Source organism: Homo sapiens, chromosome 15 (assembly GCF_000001405.40).
Source record: "Homo sapiens chromosome 15, GRCh38.p14 Primary Assembly".
NCBI lineage: Eukaryota > Metazoa > Chordata > Mammalia > Primates > Hominidae > Homo > Homo sapiens.
The window spans coordinates 54,613,271-54,635,027 of NC_000015.10; the positions used below are offsets into that span (position 1 = coordinate 54,613,271).

The window sequence follows — 21,757 nt, forward strand, 5'->3', positions numbered from 1 at the left end:
AATTCAGAGCAAGCAATCTATAAATACAATGATCAAAATCCCAATAGTTGACATATTAAAAAATGTCTATTAAAATTGTGTTGCTATTATTTACTAAATATTAATAGGAGAATGCATGAATCATAAAATATTCATGAATGGTATACTATACAGTAGTTTAAAATAAGTGAATTACAATGCTGTCTATTTAACATGGATAAACCTCAAACAATACCTAGTGAAATAAAACTGTACAATGATACTCATAATAGTGTTTTCAAATATTAACGAATAAATATTTATGGATCCATAAACCGAGTATAAAGACATTCAAATGTAAGTTTCTGAATTCATGATAATGGAGAAAGAGACCAGGGAGGAGAACTCATGGGGCCTTAACTATTTGTGTAATATCTTCTTTTTTAAAAAGCTAAAAATCAAAATAGAGATATAAATCATGATAAAATGCCAGGCTTATAACCTCGGTTTATCATGTTTAATTTACAATTTATCTTTTAAATAATATTCTCAACTTTTCTAATTGTGTCACTGTGTATTTGGCAAATATTTATCTAGTACGTACTAGGAACTGTTTTAGGTAGTAATTAAGCATTTGTGACCAGGGCAAAGATCTTTCCGTTATGGAGCTTATATTTTGGTGGGAGAAACTATTATACATTGCAACATCAGAAGTGCTTGAAGAAAAATAAAACAGGGTAAGAACTCCAGCCCCATTTCCTGTTGCCCCAGCTACTTTAATTAATAGCACAAGTAGTTCCCCAGAGGGACTTGGTGGAGAGAGGTTGCTGATTGTCATACTGCTTTCCTTTTTAACTCTTAATCAGATACAATAATGTTCGTGTTCTTCTCTTTCCTTTTATGAAACTCAGGTCAATTGACTTATTTTTTTAGACTCTGGCTATAATTGAAAAGCTTTCTTTCTAGTGTTAATATTTTTCTCTCATTATTGCTAGTGTCTTATTCTGTTTTAACACCATATTGCATAGAACTTGGGTCGTTGCTAATACCCACATCCCCAAACTCCCAAGACTTTCATAATTAAAGGGTTGTCATGAGCATCTCTGAGCTGGCACAAAGCAAATTTTCGACTCTATAGGCATCTATTCAAAGAATTTGAATCTCTTTGAATCTTTTTGAATCCATAATTTCCCTGAAAATATGTAACTTTCCCCTGTAGCTGTTATATTACAAGAAAGAATACTTTTGTGTGGTAGTCAGGTAGTCAATACCAACACTCACTACAACCCAACAGCTCCGGTCTTAGGCTCTATTGGCTGAAATATGTATTAATTTTTCTGGGCTTTTGAAGTTTTGAAAATTACTTTTTATTTACACATGAGGAAAAACTGGCTGGATTAAAATTCTAGGATCATATACTGTCTCCCTCATAACTAGGTATTGTGTAATTTTTTCCTGAATTTTAGGAGGAAAAATACAGGGCTGCCAGAATCTTCTTCCTTTTCTTCTTGGATATTTATTATATACTTAGACATTTTGCCCTTTATCTGTAAACATTTCATCCAGATATATGCTGGTATAGTTTATACTTTTCTAATTTTTCTGAAATGCAATTCTTCTAAAAATTAAACTTTTAGCTCAAGAAATTTTGTTGTGACTAATTTTAAAAATCCTGATTTATTTAGGAATACTGTTTTCAGAGAGAAGCTATCTCCAGTGAGTTCTGAAGATAGTATCTTTTTCTTGTTCTATAGAATTTTTGTTTCAGATGCCCTTTATTGGGTTTTATATGTTCACTCATCATCAAATGAGATGTATTTAGACATAGATTTTTCAATGTGTATGTGACCTGGATTAACCTTAGCCACTTTTTAAATTTTTCGTGGGTACATGAGATGTTTTGATACAGGCATGCAATGTGAAATAAGCACATCCTGGGGAAGGGGACATCTATCTCCTCAAGCATTTATCCTTTTACTTACAATCCAGTTATACTCTTCAAGTTATTTAAAAATGTACCATTCAGTTGTTATTGACTATAGTCACCCTATTGTACTACCAAAAAGAGGGTCTGTCTTCTTAACTTCCTTTGGTTACTGATAGATGCAGTGGTCTGAAGCCAGGGCTGTGGGGATGCATAGTCCCATGACTGACTGACTTCATCTGAACTAACTTGGCTCCCATTACTATATTTATTTACCTCAGTGATCACCAAGAAGAAGACATCCTGATGCTCTCATCCTTCAAGATGTATTATTCCCTAGTCTCTTCCTGCTTATAATGCCTGGTGGGAATACACACTGCCATATGGAGAATCTTTTTTTACCTCCACCTCTCTCTGCTCGATAGTCATGTTTGCTAGTAATTGTGGTGCATGAATAGATTTGAGAGATGCTGATAGGTCAAGTCAAATAGATAATGACTGTCTACATCTGAAACAGTTATCAGGCATTAGTTGGGGTTGAAAGTTGTTTTGTTTATTTTTCCCCAACTGCTGTGTGTTTCCAGGTGGAAACAAGTAATGGTGACTGGCCAAATCCACATGCTACCTACTGCCCAAGTTCTTCTCTTGTTTGACAATCTAACCAATTCTGTGGATTCCAAAAGACAAGCTAGTTTGTCAGTGGAAAGAATCCAGAACTGAAAAATAAGACCTACCACTAATATTGCCCCCTTTATTGAAATGTGTTCAAAATACTAAGCCTCAACTTCTTTATGTCTAAAACAAAAAGACTGGACCAAATGATTTCCAAGGCTCCCTTTAGCCCTAAAATTCTTCCATCTAAATATGTTTCAATCCTAAAATATTTAAAGTTAGGATACCTAAATTCCCAAGGCAATTCTAAAAGATAATTAACCAACATGGTGACTTACCTCATGGATTTCTTACTAACCTCTCATCAATTTCTCAGCAACACACTTCAGCAAACTGTAGCCATGGAGACTCACTTAATATAAAGTAGTAGATATAAGCTTTTTCAATCAATCAGCAGTAAGTTTAAAGTCCAGAAAGCCATGAAAATAGGGAGTCCTAGGAAACAAAGTTAATTTAAGTATGTCTACATAATTCCTGTGGAGTTTGTGACATATACCAATGTTACAGTCAGTGATACACTGCATTTCAACAGTGGTCCCATAAGATTATAATAACATAACACCACACATGTTTGTGGTAATGATGGTGTAAATAAGCCTGCTGTACTCCCAGTCATAAAAAGTATAGCAATATAATTATGTACAGTTAGAAAAGACTCAAGTTAAAAATTTTAAAAAATGATGTTGAGGATTCTGACCCTGTGTAGGCCTGGGCTAATAGTTTATTAACAACAACAGCAACAAAAGCTTTTAAGTAAAAAAAAGTCTTTAAAATAGAAAAAATTTTACAGAATAAGGTTATAAAGAAAGATGATGTTTTTATACAGCTTGAGCTATGTGTTACTATGAAAGAGTCAAAAGGTTAAAAAATAGTTTACAAAGTAAAAGGTTACAGAAAGTTTACTTTATTATTGAAGAAAATCTTTTATAATGTAGCCTAAGTGTTTAGAGAGTCTGCAGGGGGTACAATAATGTCTTAGGCCTTCATATTCACTCATCACTCACGCATTGACTCAGCCAGGGCAACTTTCAATCCCACAAGCTCCATTCATGGTAAGGGCCCAATATAGGTGTCTTGTTTTTATGTTTTATACTATATCTTCTCTATGTTTAGCTATGTTTAGATACACAAATACAGGTGTTACAACTGCTTACACTATTCAGTACAGTAACATACTGTAAAGGTTTGTAGCCTAGGAACAATAAACTATACCCTACCACTTAGAAGTGTCATAGGCTATACCACCTAGGTTTGTGTAAGTACACTTGATGATGTTCGCACAATGAAGAAATCACCTAACACATTTTTCAGAATTTATGCCCGTCATTAAGTGACATGTGACTGTAGAGTTTAGTGAAGTGAAAATGCAAAATAAATGTCAGAAAATCTTAAGATAGCTAGGTCCTATATAAAAGTAATTTTTTAATCTTTTGTTTCATATCCTGTCTTTTAGTGTAGCCATATTTTAAATGCCATTAAAACTAAACCAGGTCAAAATTTGCTTTTTCCTCTTTGATGTAAAAAAGAAAAAAGTGGAGGGGCAGGGAGGAGGGATATGGGGAGAAGCTGTTCAATGAGCATCAGAGCACAGTATATACTATATCTTATAAGTTAGAGATCTGAAGTCAAATCTCAGCTTTGCTCTTTATTGACTTAAACAGGCAACTAACATCTGAATCCCAGTCTTACCATCTGTAAAATGTAAACAATACCTTACAAGATCTTATACCTGAAGCACTTAGCACAATGCCTGGCATACATAGGTAATAAAAAATTGTAGCCATTATTGTTATCACTGCCATGAATTCTTCCAAATATATATTAAATAACATGGAAATAATGAGCAAAGACCAGGGAAGAAAGCACTGGAATGGATGAGAGAGTAAAAAAAGCTTAAGTCATTGTCCATTTATTCATCATCTACCATCTTGGATGATGCCTAATGACTTACAGAACTGAATGTGGAGGTAGGTCATTCCAATCCAGAGTCCTGGACCTGAAGATGGAGGAGCTATGGGGCAGATGAGCTTGATATTTAATGGTGATATTGCCAGAGTGGTTGACCTTCATAAATAATCTACCTCCTTGTTTTGTGGGGCCCAGCAAAGGTGCATGGGGCCAGATTCAAATTTGTCAGAAACCTAAGCAATTGGTTAACTTATAGGGGTCATTTGAGAAGCTGTAATGTGTTTTCTATATCATGTTTCATATAGGTCATTACCAATTAAAAGCATTATATGAGTAGTCATTATTAAATGTGTGAGACTGTTCATTCCCTCACATAGCATACTAAAATTATGGTAGGTGAGAGATTCCAGTAAGGTGCTTATTAATCCCGTGTTATAACGACAGTAAGCAGGAATTTTTAATCCTCAAAAGCTGCTCTTCTGAAGAGAAGTTCAAATAAAGCAGACAATGAGCTCTTTGAGCTTCCTGCCCTCTGTCAGTGTATGCTCACAAGGGCACTACTCATTCTTGAAGTATTCATGACCCAATAATGTTAGTGACAAAGGGCATGTTGTAGACACACAGATGGTGATTTCACATGTAGGCTAATCCCTATGGATTTACAATAAGCAAGACTATATAACAGGCAAAGCCTCTCATTAAATTTTTCTGAATTGCTCACTAAAACTTTGTTGAATAAAGAATATGATGTTAGATTATTTCCATATTCAAATCCATAGGAAATGGAAATATAGGCTGCCTTTTTGAGCAAATAACTAGTCAATTGAGATATCCTGTGTTCAAAGTGCTTTGGTTCAATTTCATTTTTACCCTGGGATAGACAATTGACAAATTTCACTGTACACATCATATTCAAGGACATAGTAAAGCAAATCTTCCGAATGTGAGGTAAAATATGTGGCACAATATAACACACATGTAACTCACATGTGACTGAATTAAGCAGCTTTTAGAGTTTCAGTACCAAAAGCATTAAATGAATCAACGGAAGTATATGTATAGTTCTTTTCACAGTAATACAGGACTATGAAAATAACGGGAGCCAAACTGTGCAAAGTAATCTGGATAACTTACGGAAAAAGTTAAAATTCCACTGTGACTTTTAAAGACATTTTGTCAAAAAACAAAACAAAAAACCTCTTACTGTCAATTATAAACATACAGGGAAATTTAAAATACAGTAAAAATATTTGTCTAATGAGTTTTAATGTAAAAGTCTTTTTAAGAGTAGTTTGAACAGTGTTTGCCTCTTTCTTCTCATGGTATAGTAAGGGGCAAGCAGCTTTTCTATGCCTTGGAAATGGATCCAAACTTAGGACTACGACAATCCACCAGCATTGTAATCCTTTCAGCTTTTTATGTCATCACCTACCTGAGAGTTCCTTAAATGTGAGCCTTTCTCCATGTAAATTTTGCTAAGATATCTGTATCTTTCTCCTCACTTACGTTAATAAGCCCAACTTCAGTAACCTCCTTGGATGCTTATCTAGAATCTCTCCAATGGCAGCAGTGTCAACAATCCAAGGGTCAGTAATTGCTTAGATTAACTCATTTGCACTCTACGCATGTTTCACTCTAGCATTATCCCTTATCCTTTCTTTGCTGCACTTTGATCTTTCCTGGCCAAGTCCATCTTTTGATTATCCAGGTTTGTAAAATAATCACATGGGTTTGTAACTGCGAAACAAAGTGGCCACACTTTGTTGTCTGTGTGTGAACAGGAACACAGTGACCATTCACCTGCTTTGAAAGAAGAGACTGGTCACTAATGACATGTATCTGCTATCCACACAGTGATTACTGGACTACAGAATTAGCTTGTGAAGTTTGCCCTTCATGCAATTACACACATTTAATATACCATGGTAACTGAAATTTGAAATGGTCAGAGGACACTAATGTTGTTTAAACTGTGGAAGCAACTACTGTCAGCCTATTTAATCAACAAATATTTAATTGTCCACGTAATGCACATCAAAGCATTGTATTGTATGAATGAGAAGTATGGATTACTAATAATAAAGGCATTCTGTTAAGGAGAAAAATCTGCATAATTAACTGTAATACTAGCTATAGCATGAGTACTAGAGAGTGGTATAAACATAGGGCCATGAAAGCAGAATCATTCAGTTTCAAAGTGAAAATTCTAAATAGCATGACTATTAAGCAATAACAGCAATGATAATCAATACTTTCTAGCCCATTGTTTCTAACCCACAATTGTCAGAAAATTTATGTTCCTCATTGCACTTTAGGGTTGTACTACCTTACACAGCCAGTTCTCAAGACTATGTTTGACCTAATTGAAGAGTAAATTTTGTCTTAGAAAAGGAAATATGTATTTTGAGAGTCTAGTAAATGTTTCCACCCAGGAGGTTTCAGAAAAGTGTTCAGGCACTGCTGAGTACATAAGCAAGATTTTTAAAGCCTCTGCCCCTGACGTCAATATAACCCTCAATAACTGATTGAAAAACACACACACAGGTAGGGTGTATAAATGGAAGACCGCCGACAAGCAATTTGAGAAAGGAAAAACTTACATTGTATACGTTTAGAGTCCCTTCTTAAAGGTTTTAGGCACATTTCCTTAGACGTTACTTGTTTTAAAACAGCATAAGTCTTCCTTCATAACTAAGGACATCAAAACTCACATATTGCCCTACTTAGAATGTTATGGCCAGGTGCAGTACTTTGGGATCTCCCAATCCAGGTTCATACTGTATTAGTTACTCGTGCTGCGAGAAAATTACTCATTTCTTAAAGTTTCATTCTGCTCACATTAAAGCTTTGGCTCTATTCTCGGCTGGGCATGGCAGCTCACACCCATAATTCCAGCACTTTGGGAGGCCCAGGCATGGCGGTCCATACTTCTAGTCCCAGGTACTTGGGAAGCTGAGGTGGGAGAATCACCTGAGCCCTACAAGTCGAGCCTAGAGTGAGCTGTGATTGCACCACTGCACTCCAGCTTGAGCAACAGAGCAAGACCCTGTCTCAAAAAAAAAAAAAAAACCTCTCTCCCAAAAGCAGGCTATAATCATGCCTTCAGTAGTACAAAGAGTAAAAGATAAAGGTATGACCTCCTCTCATGACTTCTTTCTCCTGGTGGTAGTCTCCCTGGTGTTGGGGGGAGGAAGGAAAGAAAAAAGATGACTCCATCTGTACTTCAGTGGTGAGGGGTCATTGTCTATTTCGTTAGTGTGAAGGGTTGTTCTAAAATTCTTATGTCCAAAGTGACCACTTTCTGTCTTCCAGTCCTTTTATCATCAAATGGCTGTGCCAAGGAGAGAGGCCCTTGTGGTGAATTGCCTCATCTCAGCAGGTTCTCTTGAAAGGTTTTGGCCCAAATCTTGATGATTCTCTCAAGATAGAAACTGAAAGTCTTTCAGAATCTTTTGTTCCGGGCTTTCAGCATTTGCCTTCATTTTTATGAAAATAAGATCTTTATTAATCTAATACATTGCAAATGAGATTGCAAAAGTTACAGTCTCTGTGGTAGAAATTAAAACGCCACATAACTTTGACAAAAATACTATGCTTTTAAAAACTATACTGTAAACTTTTGTAGCATAATAATTCATTATAGTTTATAATAGCAAGGAATTAAACAATTGAAATATGGTTAAATTATATATTCATATAATGGATTAAATGTCAAACATTAATGTTTTATTTTCCAAGCCTGTAGTCGTTGATGTAGTGACAGCTTTATCTACACTGAACTGGAATGACCTCCATGATACATTTTTAGGTGAAAAGATAAAGGCCTGGTAACAAATAGCTAGAGCATGTGCTTCAGTTTGGGGAAAAATGTGTATGTTCATAAAAGATATGTTAATGTGAATATAGTAAGAGGTTGGTGTTATCCTCATTTCACAAATAAGAAAACAGAAGCTTAAGAAAATAGAATCATAGAATCAGTGGTGACATACTGTGATTTGAATTCATGTTTATCTGAACCGAAATCACAGGCCCTTTCCAACACAATAAGTTTAACCCCTGACTAATCTTTTCCAGGAGACAGTTGACTTTTTAAAATGCTATCGGTACACCTTATAAATAAATTGTTGTAATATATTTGCATGTGGGGCTCCCCTGGCCAACTATGAGTTTCATGAAGGCAGGGACCCTAACAAAGCTACCTTTCTGTTCCCAGTGCTCCGGTATGGCACATTGTGGAAAAGCTCTTAAAGTAATAAAAAGCAATGGTGCATCCTTGTGTGCAAGAAATGAATATAACTTCATTAAGTGGCTAGTAAATCAACCCTAGTTCTTTAAACTATCATAATAGTAACAGAATGTCTTAGGATTTCTGCAGGCCCAATGACATTTTAGTTCAATGGGGTAATTATTACATCCAAGCTTCAAACTTGCATTTCATACTTAAGTGAATATTTATCATCACCTATTACGCACTATTAATGGAAAGAACTATTCATTTCCAATAATACATTTTATGTTTTTTATGCATAGAATGAAATTGTCCATTATTAATGAGTCTGAAAGCTCAGGCCAGTAAGCCTCTGCTTATTTTCAGGTCGTTCCTCCAAAGATGCCGTGGGTCAGATATCTGTTCATGTGGACATCACTGCCACCCCAGGAACGGGAGATCATAAAGTCACTGTAAAAGGTATACTTCTGGTCTAGATAAATCAAAACAGCCTTCTAAACTTCTGCAGCAGTACTGATATCAGCAATGTAACTTTTCTTGCATTTAAAAAAACTGCACAATTATTTTAGGGCATGCACAAAATTTCCTAATGAAACCCAAACTTTTGATTAAAAATAGAAAAATATCAATGGCACTAATGTTTAGCATGCATTATTCAAAATATATAAATACACTGATTAAATATCCAAACTTACTTTATCAGATATTTATTTTGTGGTTGGTGCCATGATATTCATTGAACACTTGCACTTTAAATATTAAGTCAGTATGTTCTTACTATTCACAAAACCTACTGCTTTTTCTATATGATTTCCAACAACTGGCTTAGAGTTCTTTACAATGAGTGGCTCAATTTGTTGGTTTTACATTGTAAAAACAGCCTGAATGCAGGGGTAATTTCAAAGATGAAATTAAAGGATTAGCATTTTGTTAACAATACGCTCGTTCTATTTTTATATTAGTCACTTCAATACCCACTTTGAGCAAAACTAGGGCTGCCCAATATATTTCAGAATTACATTACATATTGTATCTTTACATCATAAAAGTAAAATAGCTATATTTTAGAATAGATTATATACAGTAGTATATACTGTCAATTTCCTTAAATATTTTTGAAAAATGTTGCCAACGTGTGAAAGTTTAATGAATATTTTGCAGTAGTGATTTTAATTATAAGACACTTCGCTTGAGGATGAGCAAAGATATTTACACATGAGAATCTTCATTTAGTATTTTTTTTATGACGACTGAAATTTAAAAACAGCTATAATATCTAACAAGTGACTGGCTAAATATAGGATGAAATAGCCACAGAGCAAAATATTATTAGCAGTTGACAAAATATATAATGAATTAGAAAATTAGCCATGATAGACTTAAAAAAATAAAGCTATTTATAAGATTGCAACACATTATAATATCATTTTGTATATAAAGTAACTAAATATTGAAAGCATACAATCCAAAATATTGTCATTGACTGGTAAATTTATAGATTTTATCTATTTCCTGATGAGCATATCTTCATGTTCAATACGAACAACACCATGTTTTTACCAAGAGGAGGAGAGTGCTAACTTTTCATTAGTAACAGATATCATTTTAATTGCAGCTAACTAACTTTTCACCAAAGCTACACAGCTTAAAGCTGAAAGCTCCATCAGGTGTGCCTTCCAGAAAGAAAATTGTATTTTATTGTCTTGGAGTACAGTGTCTTGTCAGTGGAGTTAGGGCACTATTATTAAGTTTTGGCTTCATAAATCACTTTTAAAATTTCACTCTAAATTTCCACACATCTGTTTGCTAAAATGTGATATTTCCTTTTTTTTAGTGATTGCTATTAATGACCTAAACTGGCAGACCACAGCAATGTTCCGCCCCTTTGTGGAAGTTTGTATACTGGGACCCAACCTTGGAGACAAGAAGAGAAAACAAGGCACAAAAACAAAAAGCAACACATGGTCACCAAAGTACAATGAAACATTTCAGTTGTAAGTCATAAACCCACCTTACTTATTCTACCAGGCAATAGTTACTGTACAGCTGACCTTACTGAGGGATTTGGAGTGTGAAGGGCTAAGGAAAATGAAGAAGGCTCTGTTTTTAGTTCCCTTCCATTCATTCAATATCTGTTCAGTGCCTGCCATGTATCAGCCAATGTTATAGTCATTAGGTGTATATATCATAGGAGGTGTCTGAATCAATCTTTTGCAGTGCACTCATATAAGTTACTTTCTACAGATGAGGAGTGTATGATAAAGTCACAAATATTTGTCATATGGCATTAAATACAATATGCAGAACTATGTGGTAAGTGCTATGACTAGCTGCTTTGCCTGGGAGGTCAGGGAAGCCTCTCTGAGCATGTGACTTTTAAACTGAAACCTGTCCAAATAAAAAGCCAGGCATGGAAGAGCAGAACATTTCAGACAAAGTGAAATAAATAGCTAGTACAAGGACTCTAAGGCGAGAGCAAGTCTGGGATATTTAAGAAGCAGCACATCATAGATAAAGGAGTGAGATCCAAGTGAGGCCAAGGTACAGATAGTGTGTCACATAGGGCTTTTCAATTCTAAGTTCAATAGGTGGTCCACTGAAGGGTTTTCAAATGAACAGATGAGATTTACATCTTTATTTTGTTTGCTGTGTACAGAAATAATTATACGGTGGCAAGACCAAATATGTAAAGATCAGTTAGAAGGCTATTGCAATAGTCCAGGCAATAGCTATTAGTGACTAACCGGATCCTAGTAGGGAGATAGATGGAGAAGATTCTGTATCATGTGTGGAAAGTAGATTCTTGCCATAGGCTGGAGGTAGAACATGAAAGAGTAATTCCCGAAAACACTCAGTTTAGAGTAATTCAAAATGAGCTTACTTACAAAGGAATTTACAAAGTGGTTAAGAGTAGAGAAATTTGAGTAATCATGGGAACTGGGGCTAATAGTAACCAGGCTATTACCATACTTATGCCTGAAAAGAGGAGAGAAAGAGTCATTACTAAAATTAGGAAAGTGAAAACTTGATGTATGCTTGAAATGTATTATTGAAATACACTATTAATGGAAAGAACTATTCATTTCTTTTCAGTTTGATGTATACATTTCAAGTATACATCAAGTTTGAAATGTATACTTGAATGTATACTTACTTGCCTTGAAAGCAGCAGTGACATTCCATGAAGGGCAACAGCCTACTGGAGGCAGCCCCACAGGCAAAGAGCCAGGGAAATAAAGACTCTGACCTCACTCTCCTCACTGCCAACCTCTTGATGGGGTTCCCTTTTGGCCAAAATCTACCGGAAGCAAGAAGAAACCCTACTGAGATATAGTCCCAACAGATGAGTTTTCTATTGCAAACAGCATTCTATTGCAAACAGCAAAAAGGAGGGTGGATCCACAGGGGGAAACTGGGCGATACCTGGCACTGAATAAAATCAAAGATGATCCCTAAGTTTTTGGCATGAGGAGTTGGGAAGATAGCAATTTACCAAGATGGAAGAAGAAATGATAAAAATGTTTTAAATCTATTAATTTGGTGATGCCTGTCAGACTCTCAAGAGATGTCATTTAATTCAACAAATATAAATAATCTAACCTAGGAATGGATACATGGAGAGGTTAAGAGGCCTAGGACAAAGCCCTAAGGATTTACACGCCAATACACTCTCTTACAGGTTTTTTGTTCATGATTTCCTATAGTCGTTTCAGCACTCTGCTCTGAATATTTCACCCTCTTATCACGTATTAAAACTGAAGTATCCTACTCTATCAAAAGGGTCCTAATAGATCACATTCCCTGCCAATAAACCAGCTTACAACATTTCACTATCTACTTCAACTTACTCAAAAACCTGGACCCAACTAAAGTTTCTTGTTAGATATAACACAGTGAGCTACTTAAAGGCAGCATTTTTAATTCATGAGATCTGATTCCCATCATATTTTGCTCTTCTACTCTTATCCCCTAGACTTCCATTTTCTTTCACATTATTTCAGATTCTCCCTAAAGTACAAAGTTTAGTTACCAGTGTTTCCTGGAAATCAAAATGTTTCATCAGAAAAAAATCACCTGTAAAAGGAAGGAATTTGGAAGCTGGTACTGCTGAGGGCTAGATGTACATTCATTAGAAAATCAAGAATATGAGAATGAACAAAAATAAGGGGTGGAGGAAGACAGACTGTATCTACCATATCACCACTTGGCCTTCTTTATTATGTTGACACTAACAAGCTGTCTTAGGTGGTTGTTAGGAGAGGCCACACACTTGACAGGTCTAACTGTTACCATAGGAAAGAATCGGCATTGAATCACCAGGCTCTGCTGGAATTGATTTACTCTGGATGGAGATTTGTATCCAATTTAGCATATTGTGAATAGTGCTTGATGGGCTGTGCAGTGTATTCCCCTGAGAAAAGACTCCTAGATATAATAGCTTATTCAAGATTTGGAGGTAAAGTGCGAGGAGTAGTAACTGATATTGAAATGGGGAGGTAAAGTGCGAGTAGTAACTGATATTGAAATGGCATATAAATTCTACCAAGAGGTACCCATTACCCTGGCCTAGCCCCCATGACCCCTTTCCAACTCCACCGCACCCGCAATCAGGAGATTCTGCCTCGACTGATTAAGTGTAACATAGTATCTTAATTCCCATTTTTTTCTGTCTTTTCTATCTAGGGAAAAAGTCATTTTAACATTCGCTTTCTAAGCCAAATTTAAAGGGTTAAAATACACTGATATCCTATTTGCCAACATAATAATCAGATCCAATGTATACAGTTTTCAGCAGTATTTGAGAACCATAATGATGCCTAGTGGAAGTAAAGTTTTTGCTCAAAATTTGTATTTTTAATCCACACAGCATTCTCGGAAAGGAAAATCGACCAGGGGCTTATGAACTTCATCTCTCAGTTAAGGATTACTGCTTTGCCAGAGAAGATCGAATTATCGGAATGACAGTCATTCAGCTACAGAACATAGCAGAAAAGGGAAGCTATGGGGCATGGTATCCTCTTCTGAAAAATATCTCTATGGATGAAACTGGTTTGACTATCCTTAGAATACTCTCTCAGAGGACCAGTGATGATGTGGCTAAAGAATTTGTAAGACTTAAATCTGAAACAAGATCTACTGAAGAGAGTGCTTGAAACAAACACTGCAAGCTAAATACATAACTATAATTGTTTGACTACTGCATGCATGTGCAAATACATGGGAATGTTTAGTTCACTACATTTCAATGTTTGCCAGTACTCATGTACGATGTCTACAAGGTATGTAAAAAACCTGCTGAACTTTTATACCAATTCTGGTCTTTGGGAAATCAGTGTTCCATGAAGTGCCAAAATTATGATGTAAAGTGAAATATCAAGAACACCTTTTAACATGTTTATTTTGTTTCTTTACCCATTTCACATTCATTAAACATAATTTTTAAAAACTAGTCTTTTGAGTTTGCCCATCAGTTGTCTTTGTTAAATGAGATTATATTGCCCATAGATCAGAAAACATTTATTACTCAATTTCCATTTTATTTACTTACCTCATTATAGATGTCTTACAAATACCCTTTTCTACCATAACTAGAAATGCAGTCACTTCTAGAAAGCATTTGTAATTTTATAGTCGCAGATATTGTGATTTTTGCATACACATTAAAATAGAAAAGGTGGGAAATATTTTCTGCTGACCAGTTTCCAACCTTTCTGAAATATCACTGTGAAGAAATGCTGTTAAAGCAAACTTACATAAAGCAATGCTAGAGTTTGTTAACAATGTTTGATATATATTGACAAAACTTTGTTCTCTAAAACTGCCAAGATCACATCACATTTGTAAAAATGGTAAGTTAATGCATTTGTCATATAGTGTTATGTCTTGGCTTTACCATATTTCATTCTTTAAAAAGTCATTAATGGTTTAGAAATGGGATGGAAAGTTTACTGAAAATACCTGTAAGTAACTATATTGTTAATATCTTCCCTCTGACAGTTATGACTCTATAATCAGTTCAATGCTTTATTTTTAAAAATATTCAATGATTAGTATTGAATGCAGCATTACTATATATTGTACTGATGCCAAAAGTCATGTTTTCATCCACTTAGTGAAAAAATAGTAAAATTAAGTCGGAAGAAATTGCTTAAAATTTTGTAATTTGTATTTATAAGCCCCAAATGCATCAAATGCAGTAGGAGAACAATGTAATACAGCTTGGTACCTAAAAATATAGCTAAGTTGGTTTTTGAATATAAAACAGTTTATGAATATGTGCATTTTCTGTATTGTTATGATTTGACTTTTTAGAGTCTATGCCAAAATATATGGCTGTAAAACAGTACTTTGTAATTATAACTTATGGTCATAACTGTTAGTGGACTACTTACAGAAGCAGAAACAAGAGCCTGTTATGATTGTGCTTTGTGAACAAGCTGATCTAATACGTTAAGTACAGAAGTGCTTAGTATCATGACTGTCAGAACCATTCTGCAACTGAGTATGAAATCACAGACCAGTGAGGTGAGCTAATTCATGTTAAACTGTTAGGCCACTGCTTTGTTAATGACTCCTCTAAATGCATAGTGTGATGCGATCCTCTGGCATATGCTTTAATAAATGGATGTATATTGAGCACATGCAGCATTGTATTGTATCTTCTGCCTTTTTATTTCATTTATGCAATATCATCTCATTTAGGAATAAAAACTCCAGGCTCTTTTGACCATATGTAATAGTCTTCATATTATTTGGTTCTAACATCTCATTAAAAGTTTAGATGTCAGAATGGTTATTATTAAAAAGTCAAAAAATAACAGATGCTGGCGAGGTTGTGAAGAAAAATGTTTGTTTGTTTATACACTGCTGGTGGGAGTGTAAATTACTTCAATTATTGTAGAAAGCAGTGTGGTGATTCCTCAAAGACCTACAAACAGAATTACCATTCGACTAAGCAATCCCATTACTGAGTACACAGCCAAAGGAATATCAAACAAACATTCTACCATAAACACATATGCACGTATATGTCCACTGCAGCACTATTCACAATAGCAAACACATGGAACCATCCTAAATGCCCATCAACAGTAGACCAGATAAAGAAAATGTGGTACATATACACCGTGGAATACTATGCAGGCATAAAAAGAATGAGACCATGTCCTTCACAGTGACATGGATGGAGCTGGAGGCCATTACCTGAAGCAAACTAACACAGGAATAGAAAACGAAATACTACATGTTTGTTATCACAAGTGGAAGCTAAACGATGAGGACACATGGACACTAAGGGGGCAACAACAGACACTGTGGCCTACTTGAGGGTAGGAGGAGGGAAAAGATAAGAAAAAGTATCTGTCACGCTACGAAGCTTACTACCTGGGTGACAAAATAATCTACACCAAAACCCCCGTGACACACAATTTACCTACGTAATAAACCTGGACATGAACCCCTGAATCTAAAATAAAAGTTTTTAAAAAAAAGTTCAGATGTTAAAATTCATTCCACAGGTGGTGTGTTCATGGAAACCACTGTATATTGTAATGACGAGGAAAATAAGGATGAACTAATGTATCTACCTATATATTGCTAAATACCGTTTAGTCCCATGAACAAAATTCAACATGCAACATGGTTAAAAATCTCACATGATAAAAGTTTTCATCAATTACTTGAAAAATTCATTCTAGATTTATGTTATAAATATTTTACAGAACATTGACTTAAGCTCTTTAGGAGCACATATTAATGTCATAATACATGATACATTTGAGTAAAAGGCAGTTAGGATTTGCATTGATCACTTTAAATTGAGCAAGGTATTTTTTCCCTGACATGTTTAATTGCATCCAATTATTCTGTCTTTTACAATGTATACAATATATATCAAAGCCTAATAGTGGCAGGGTGAATTAAGTCTATTTATGACTATCATAAAGTACAGGTACTAATTTTGAAATGATTATAAATTCTGTAGACTCTGTTTTCCTCTCAAAGCACAAGTATTCCCGTTGTCTTCAGAACAAAGCCTGTTATATTTACTTACCCAAATTAGTAGTCACTCTAAGGTTCCCAGTGATCTCTGTCAATTGAGTGTTGCACTAATGTGTGTAGCAATTTATTCATCTTATTCTAGATAAAACACACAAAGGCAAAGCTCTGTTGCTTGTCTATGGATAAACCTCACATTACAGGTCTTTAAAGATACACGTGTAAATCAAATTTAGCAAACACAAAGTATTTAAACCCAGAGTGGAGTATTTGCTATTCGAAGGAATTTGAATGCATTAAGTAATCAGATGTCCCCACTACAACCTGCGCTAATTTATCTACTTCTAGGATAATTTATAACTTGAATTTATCTTAAATGAGGCACATTTATAAATGACAATTCTAACTTAATGTCTTTTATTTGGTCTTTTTTAAAAACAATGCGTGAAACAAGATTTTCTCCTTTTAATTTCTCTACATTACATAAAGATATGACTATACTAGCTAGCCCCTTTATGGACTACTATAGCAGCTTTAATCTTTATGCTCAAATAATAAATGATCATACTTATACATGACTCAGGGAATATCCTTGAATAAATGTCTAATTCCACCTACTTAGAAAAATTCTTGGGCACACAGGCAAGAGACTGCCCTCCCCTGTGGAATGAATTTTAACTCCCCTGATGTTACCTGTGTTTATACTCAAGTCCTTTGTTTGAAATAGTTGCCCCTTTGCTCTTTTGACTCCCCAGGCCTCCACTGATCACTCTTCTCTGTGGTTCAGGCTTCTGCAGTGTGATTTTTAGAATAAAAAACTAGGATATGTGATATGAAGGAGAATCAATTCCAATTTGCGAATGTTAAATAATATATATTTAAAAGTGCTCATGTTTTTTCACATCATGACAACTTTGAAATCAGGATACATATATAATCCTTTGGCATGTTATGGTTTAATTGGTGATTTTTTTCTCCCTTATTAGTACATGTTTCTTCTTATAATGAATGACTTCCAGGCATCAATAAGCATATTTATTAAAAAGTATATATAAATCGATGAAAATAAAGTAATGCTTAGTTGTCTATTTTAAAACATAGTTTGGCTAGGCACAGTGGCTCACAACTGTAATCCCAGCACACTGAGAGGCCGAGACAGGCAGGTTGCTTTGAGCTTAGAAGTTCGAGACCAGCCTAGTCAACGTGGCAAAGCCCCATCTCTACAAAAAAATACAAAAATGAGTCAGGCCTGGTGGCATGTGACTGTAGTCCCAGCTACTTGAGAGGCTGAGGCAGGAGAATCACTTGAGCCTGGGAAGCAGAGGTTCCAGTGAGCCAAGATGCATCACTGCACTCCAGCCTGGGCAACAGAATGAGACCCTGTCTCAAAAAATATGCATATTTTTTAATTTGCATATACTAAAATTCTCTCTTTTGGCATACATTTCTGTGTTATGACAAATGCGTAGTCATGTATTAATCACAACAGTCAAGATATGGGACAATTCCCTCATACCTCAAAATTCCACGTTACCACTTTATAGACAAACACTTTTCCTACTATCAACCCTCTGCAGCACTGGTTCATTTTAGTCCCTCACGTTTTGTGTATTCCAGAATGTCATATAAACGGAACTATACAGTATATATTCTTTTGAGCCTGTATAATTTCACTTAGCACAATGCACCAGAGATTCATCTACATTGTGGCATGTATAAATTATTACCTAGTTTTTTTTGTTGAATAGTACTGCACTGTATGAACATTAAAAAGATTTCATTCACCACTTACTACACTTACCTTGTTTGGCAATATTATGAACAAAGCTTTTATAAACATTCACATACAGGATTTTGTGTATACTTGTTTTTATTTTTCTTGGGTGATTATCTATTAGAGTGTGATTTCTAGGTCTTATGATAAGTATATCTTTAACTTCATAAGGAACTTTCAAACTTTTTTGAAAGTAGTTGTAAAATTTTACATTTCCAGAAGCAATGTATGAGAGTTTCAGTTGCTCTGCATCTTTGCAAGCACTGGGTATCGTCAGTTCTTTATTTTAGTTCTTCTTCTGATATACACAAAATAGCATCTCAACATGCCTTTAATTTGTATTCATCTGAGGACTAATAACATTGAGTATCTCTGTGTGTGCTTATTTGACATCCATATATTTTGTTTAGTGAAGTATCTGCAAATCTTTTGCCCATTTATTTAATGAGTTGTTTATTGTTGAGTTTGGGGACATATTTTCATATTCCATATACAAACCCTTTGTCAGATATGAAATGTGCAACTATTTCATCCCAGTCCGTGGCTAGTCTTTTCATTTTTATAACAACCTCTTTAAGAGAACAAAAGGTTTTCACTTCCATCAAGTCGAATTTGATGAAATCATTTTTTCTCTTTTATAGATCATAGCTTTGCTACCATAAGAATTACTTGCCTCACTCAAGGCCAAAAAGATTTTTTTCTCCTATGTTTTCATATGGAAATTTTATACTTTGGGGTATTACAATTTGGCCTATGAACCGTTTTGAGGTTAATAGAGGGTGTAAAGTTTGAGTTAAGGTTCATCTATAATTATTAAATTACAATTGAGTAATTAATTAGAAACTAATTTTCATAGGCATGTCCAATTGTTCCAGCACCACACAATTCATTGAAAATACTACAGTTATCACTTGGAATTACCTTTGTACCTTCATCATAAATCAATTGACCAAATGTGTGTGAGTCCATTTCTGACATCTCTAGTCTGTTCCATTGATCTGACTCTATACCTTATCACCAATGTGACACTGTAGCAATTACTGTAGCTTTATACTGTCTTGAACTCAGGTAGTAAGAGTTCTCCATGTTCTTCTCTTCAAAACAGTGGAGTATTCTACTACTTCTCACTCTCTATAAAAATTTTAACAGCCAGCCAGGCACGGTGGCTCACGCCTGTAGTCCCAGCACTTTGGGAGGTCAAGGCAGGCAGATCACCTGAGGTCAGGAGTTCAAGACCAGCCTAACCAACATGGAGAAACCCCGACTCTACTAAAAATACAAAATTAGCCAGACATGGTGGCGCATGCCTGTAATCCCAGCTACTCTGGAGGCTGAGGCAGGGGAATCACTTGAACCCAGGAGACGGAGGCTGCAGTGAGACGAGATCACGCCATTGCACTCCAACCTGGGCAACAAGAGCAAAACTCTGTCTCAAAAAAAAAAATAACAGCCTACTGGGATTTTGACTGAGAACTTATTAAATCCATACACCAATTTACAAACAACCGATGTCTTAACAATATTGAATCTTCAATTCGTGGGCACAGTATATGTCTCCACTTATTTACATCTTCATTGATTTATTACTGTCTTATGGTTTTCAGCATACAAATCCTACCAAGGATTTCTTCTGTATGTGTACAAGAGTATAAATGTTACTTTGAGAATAAAATTCAAAATCCAATTGTTTATTTCCTGTACAAAGAAAGATTTTTGTATATTGACTTGGTATCCTGGAACCTCACTAACCTCATTTTATTAGTTTTAGCTTTTTTTTTTTTTGATTCCTTGGGATTTTGTACATTGACAATTATTAAAGAGAGGCAATTATTTTTCTTCCTTTCCACTCTGTACACATATTTCTTTTTCTTTCCTCAGTACACTTGCTAAGGCTACCAGTCTGATTTTGTATAGGAGTGGTGAGCACAGATATGCTTGCTTTGTTCTCAATCTTAGGGAGAATCTATTGAGTCTGTCACCATTAAATATGTTAGCTGGAGGTTTCATTCATGACTTTTATAAGCTTAAGGAAGTTGCCTCCTACTCCTACTCTTCAAAAGTTTCTATCATAAATGACTTTTGAATTTTGTCTAATGCTTTTTCTCATCAATTAGGACGAAATTTTTCTGCTGTAGTCTATGTGGTAAATTACTTTGGTTCATTTTTGATTGTTGAAATAACTTTACATTTCAATAGTAAATCCTATTTTGTCAAAATATATGCTCTTCATATATATATATATATTCAGGTGTGTAACATTTTGTTGAAGATATACTATATAGACTGTATATACATATATACACATATATACATATATTTTATGTATGTGTATATATATATATATATATATATATATATAGTGCCTCTTATGGTCTATAAATCATGTAGAATATGGACTATATATGGCCTCCAAAAGTGTATGGGGAATTCTCTTCTTTACTCTCTCAAAGAGATTGTGATGAAATGGTATTAATTCATTCTTAAATATTTGGTAGAATTTAACAGTGAAGATGCGTGGGCCTACATTTCTTCTTTATTGGGAGGTGTTAAAACACCAATTCAACTAATCTAATAGGTATTAAATGAAGAGCCAATGTCAAAACAACATATGCTTTAGATGAAATAAATAGTACATATTGTAATGATGAAGACAGCAAAAAGAAACAAATAATAAGAAAAAATATTACACGTGGGACAAGATGACCCTTTATTGTGGAAGCCTGCCCTGTGCATTGTAAGATGTTCAGTTAGCATCTCTGGACTCTACCCACCTTATGCCAGGAGCACATCCCAAGTCCCTCAATTATCATAACCAAAGTGTCTCCAGACATTGCCAAGTGTCACTTAGGGTGGTAGGCAAAAGTAATCCAGTTCAGAGCCATTACTGTAGAGGCTTTAGATTCAGACTGATCGGAGTTTAAGTTTTGATTTCATGAATAGCTTCAAGACATTGTACAAGTTATTTAACCCTTCTAAGCCACAATTTTTCTCATCTGTTCAATGATGATTACTATTCTTATAAAAGTATTGTAAAGATTAAATAAGTTAATGGATATAATATTTAGAATAGTAATTGATAAGCACTCAAATAATGGTAGCAATTAACTATTAAGCAATGAGACAAAACACAAAGGACAACTGAATAAAAGAACTGACTGCTCATGGAAGAAAGGCTGATAAGGGAAACACAAGTAATAATTAAAACATGTTTGGAAAATAGTTTTACCTTGAAAAATTGCATTTCTAAATGAAAGAATTCATTGCTCCAGAATAAACTGATAAAGTATAGGGAAAG

General features: G+C 34.9%; 1 protein-coding gene across 7 annotated transcripts in view; it reads left to right on the forward strand.

Moving 5' to 3' along the window:
• UNC13C (unc-13 homolog C) overlaps positions 1 to 20,170 on the forward strand; it is a 795,839-nt gene extending 775,669 nt beyond the window's left edge. For 6 of the 7 annotated variants that reach the window (XM_047432538.1, XM_017022220.2, XM_017022221.2 and 3 more), the window contains 3 exons: positions 9,057 to 9,149; positions 10,525 to 10,684; positions 13,558 to 20,170. In XM_047432538.1, the coding sequence (XP_047288494.1) occupies positions 9,057 to 9,149; positions 10,525 to 10,684; positions 13,558 to 13,843 (539 nt within the window). In that variant the 3' untranslated portion in view covers positions 13,844 to 20,170. The remainder of the gene's footprint in view (positions 1 to 9,056; positions 9,150 to 10,524; positions 10,685 to 13,557) is intronic. The other variant, NM_001080534.3, reaches the window with a different exon arrangement.
• Positions 20,171 to 21,757: the final 1,587 nt, after the last annotated feature.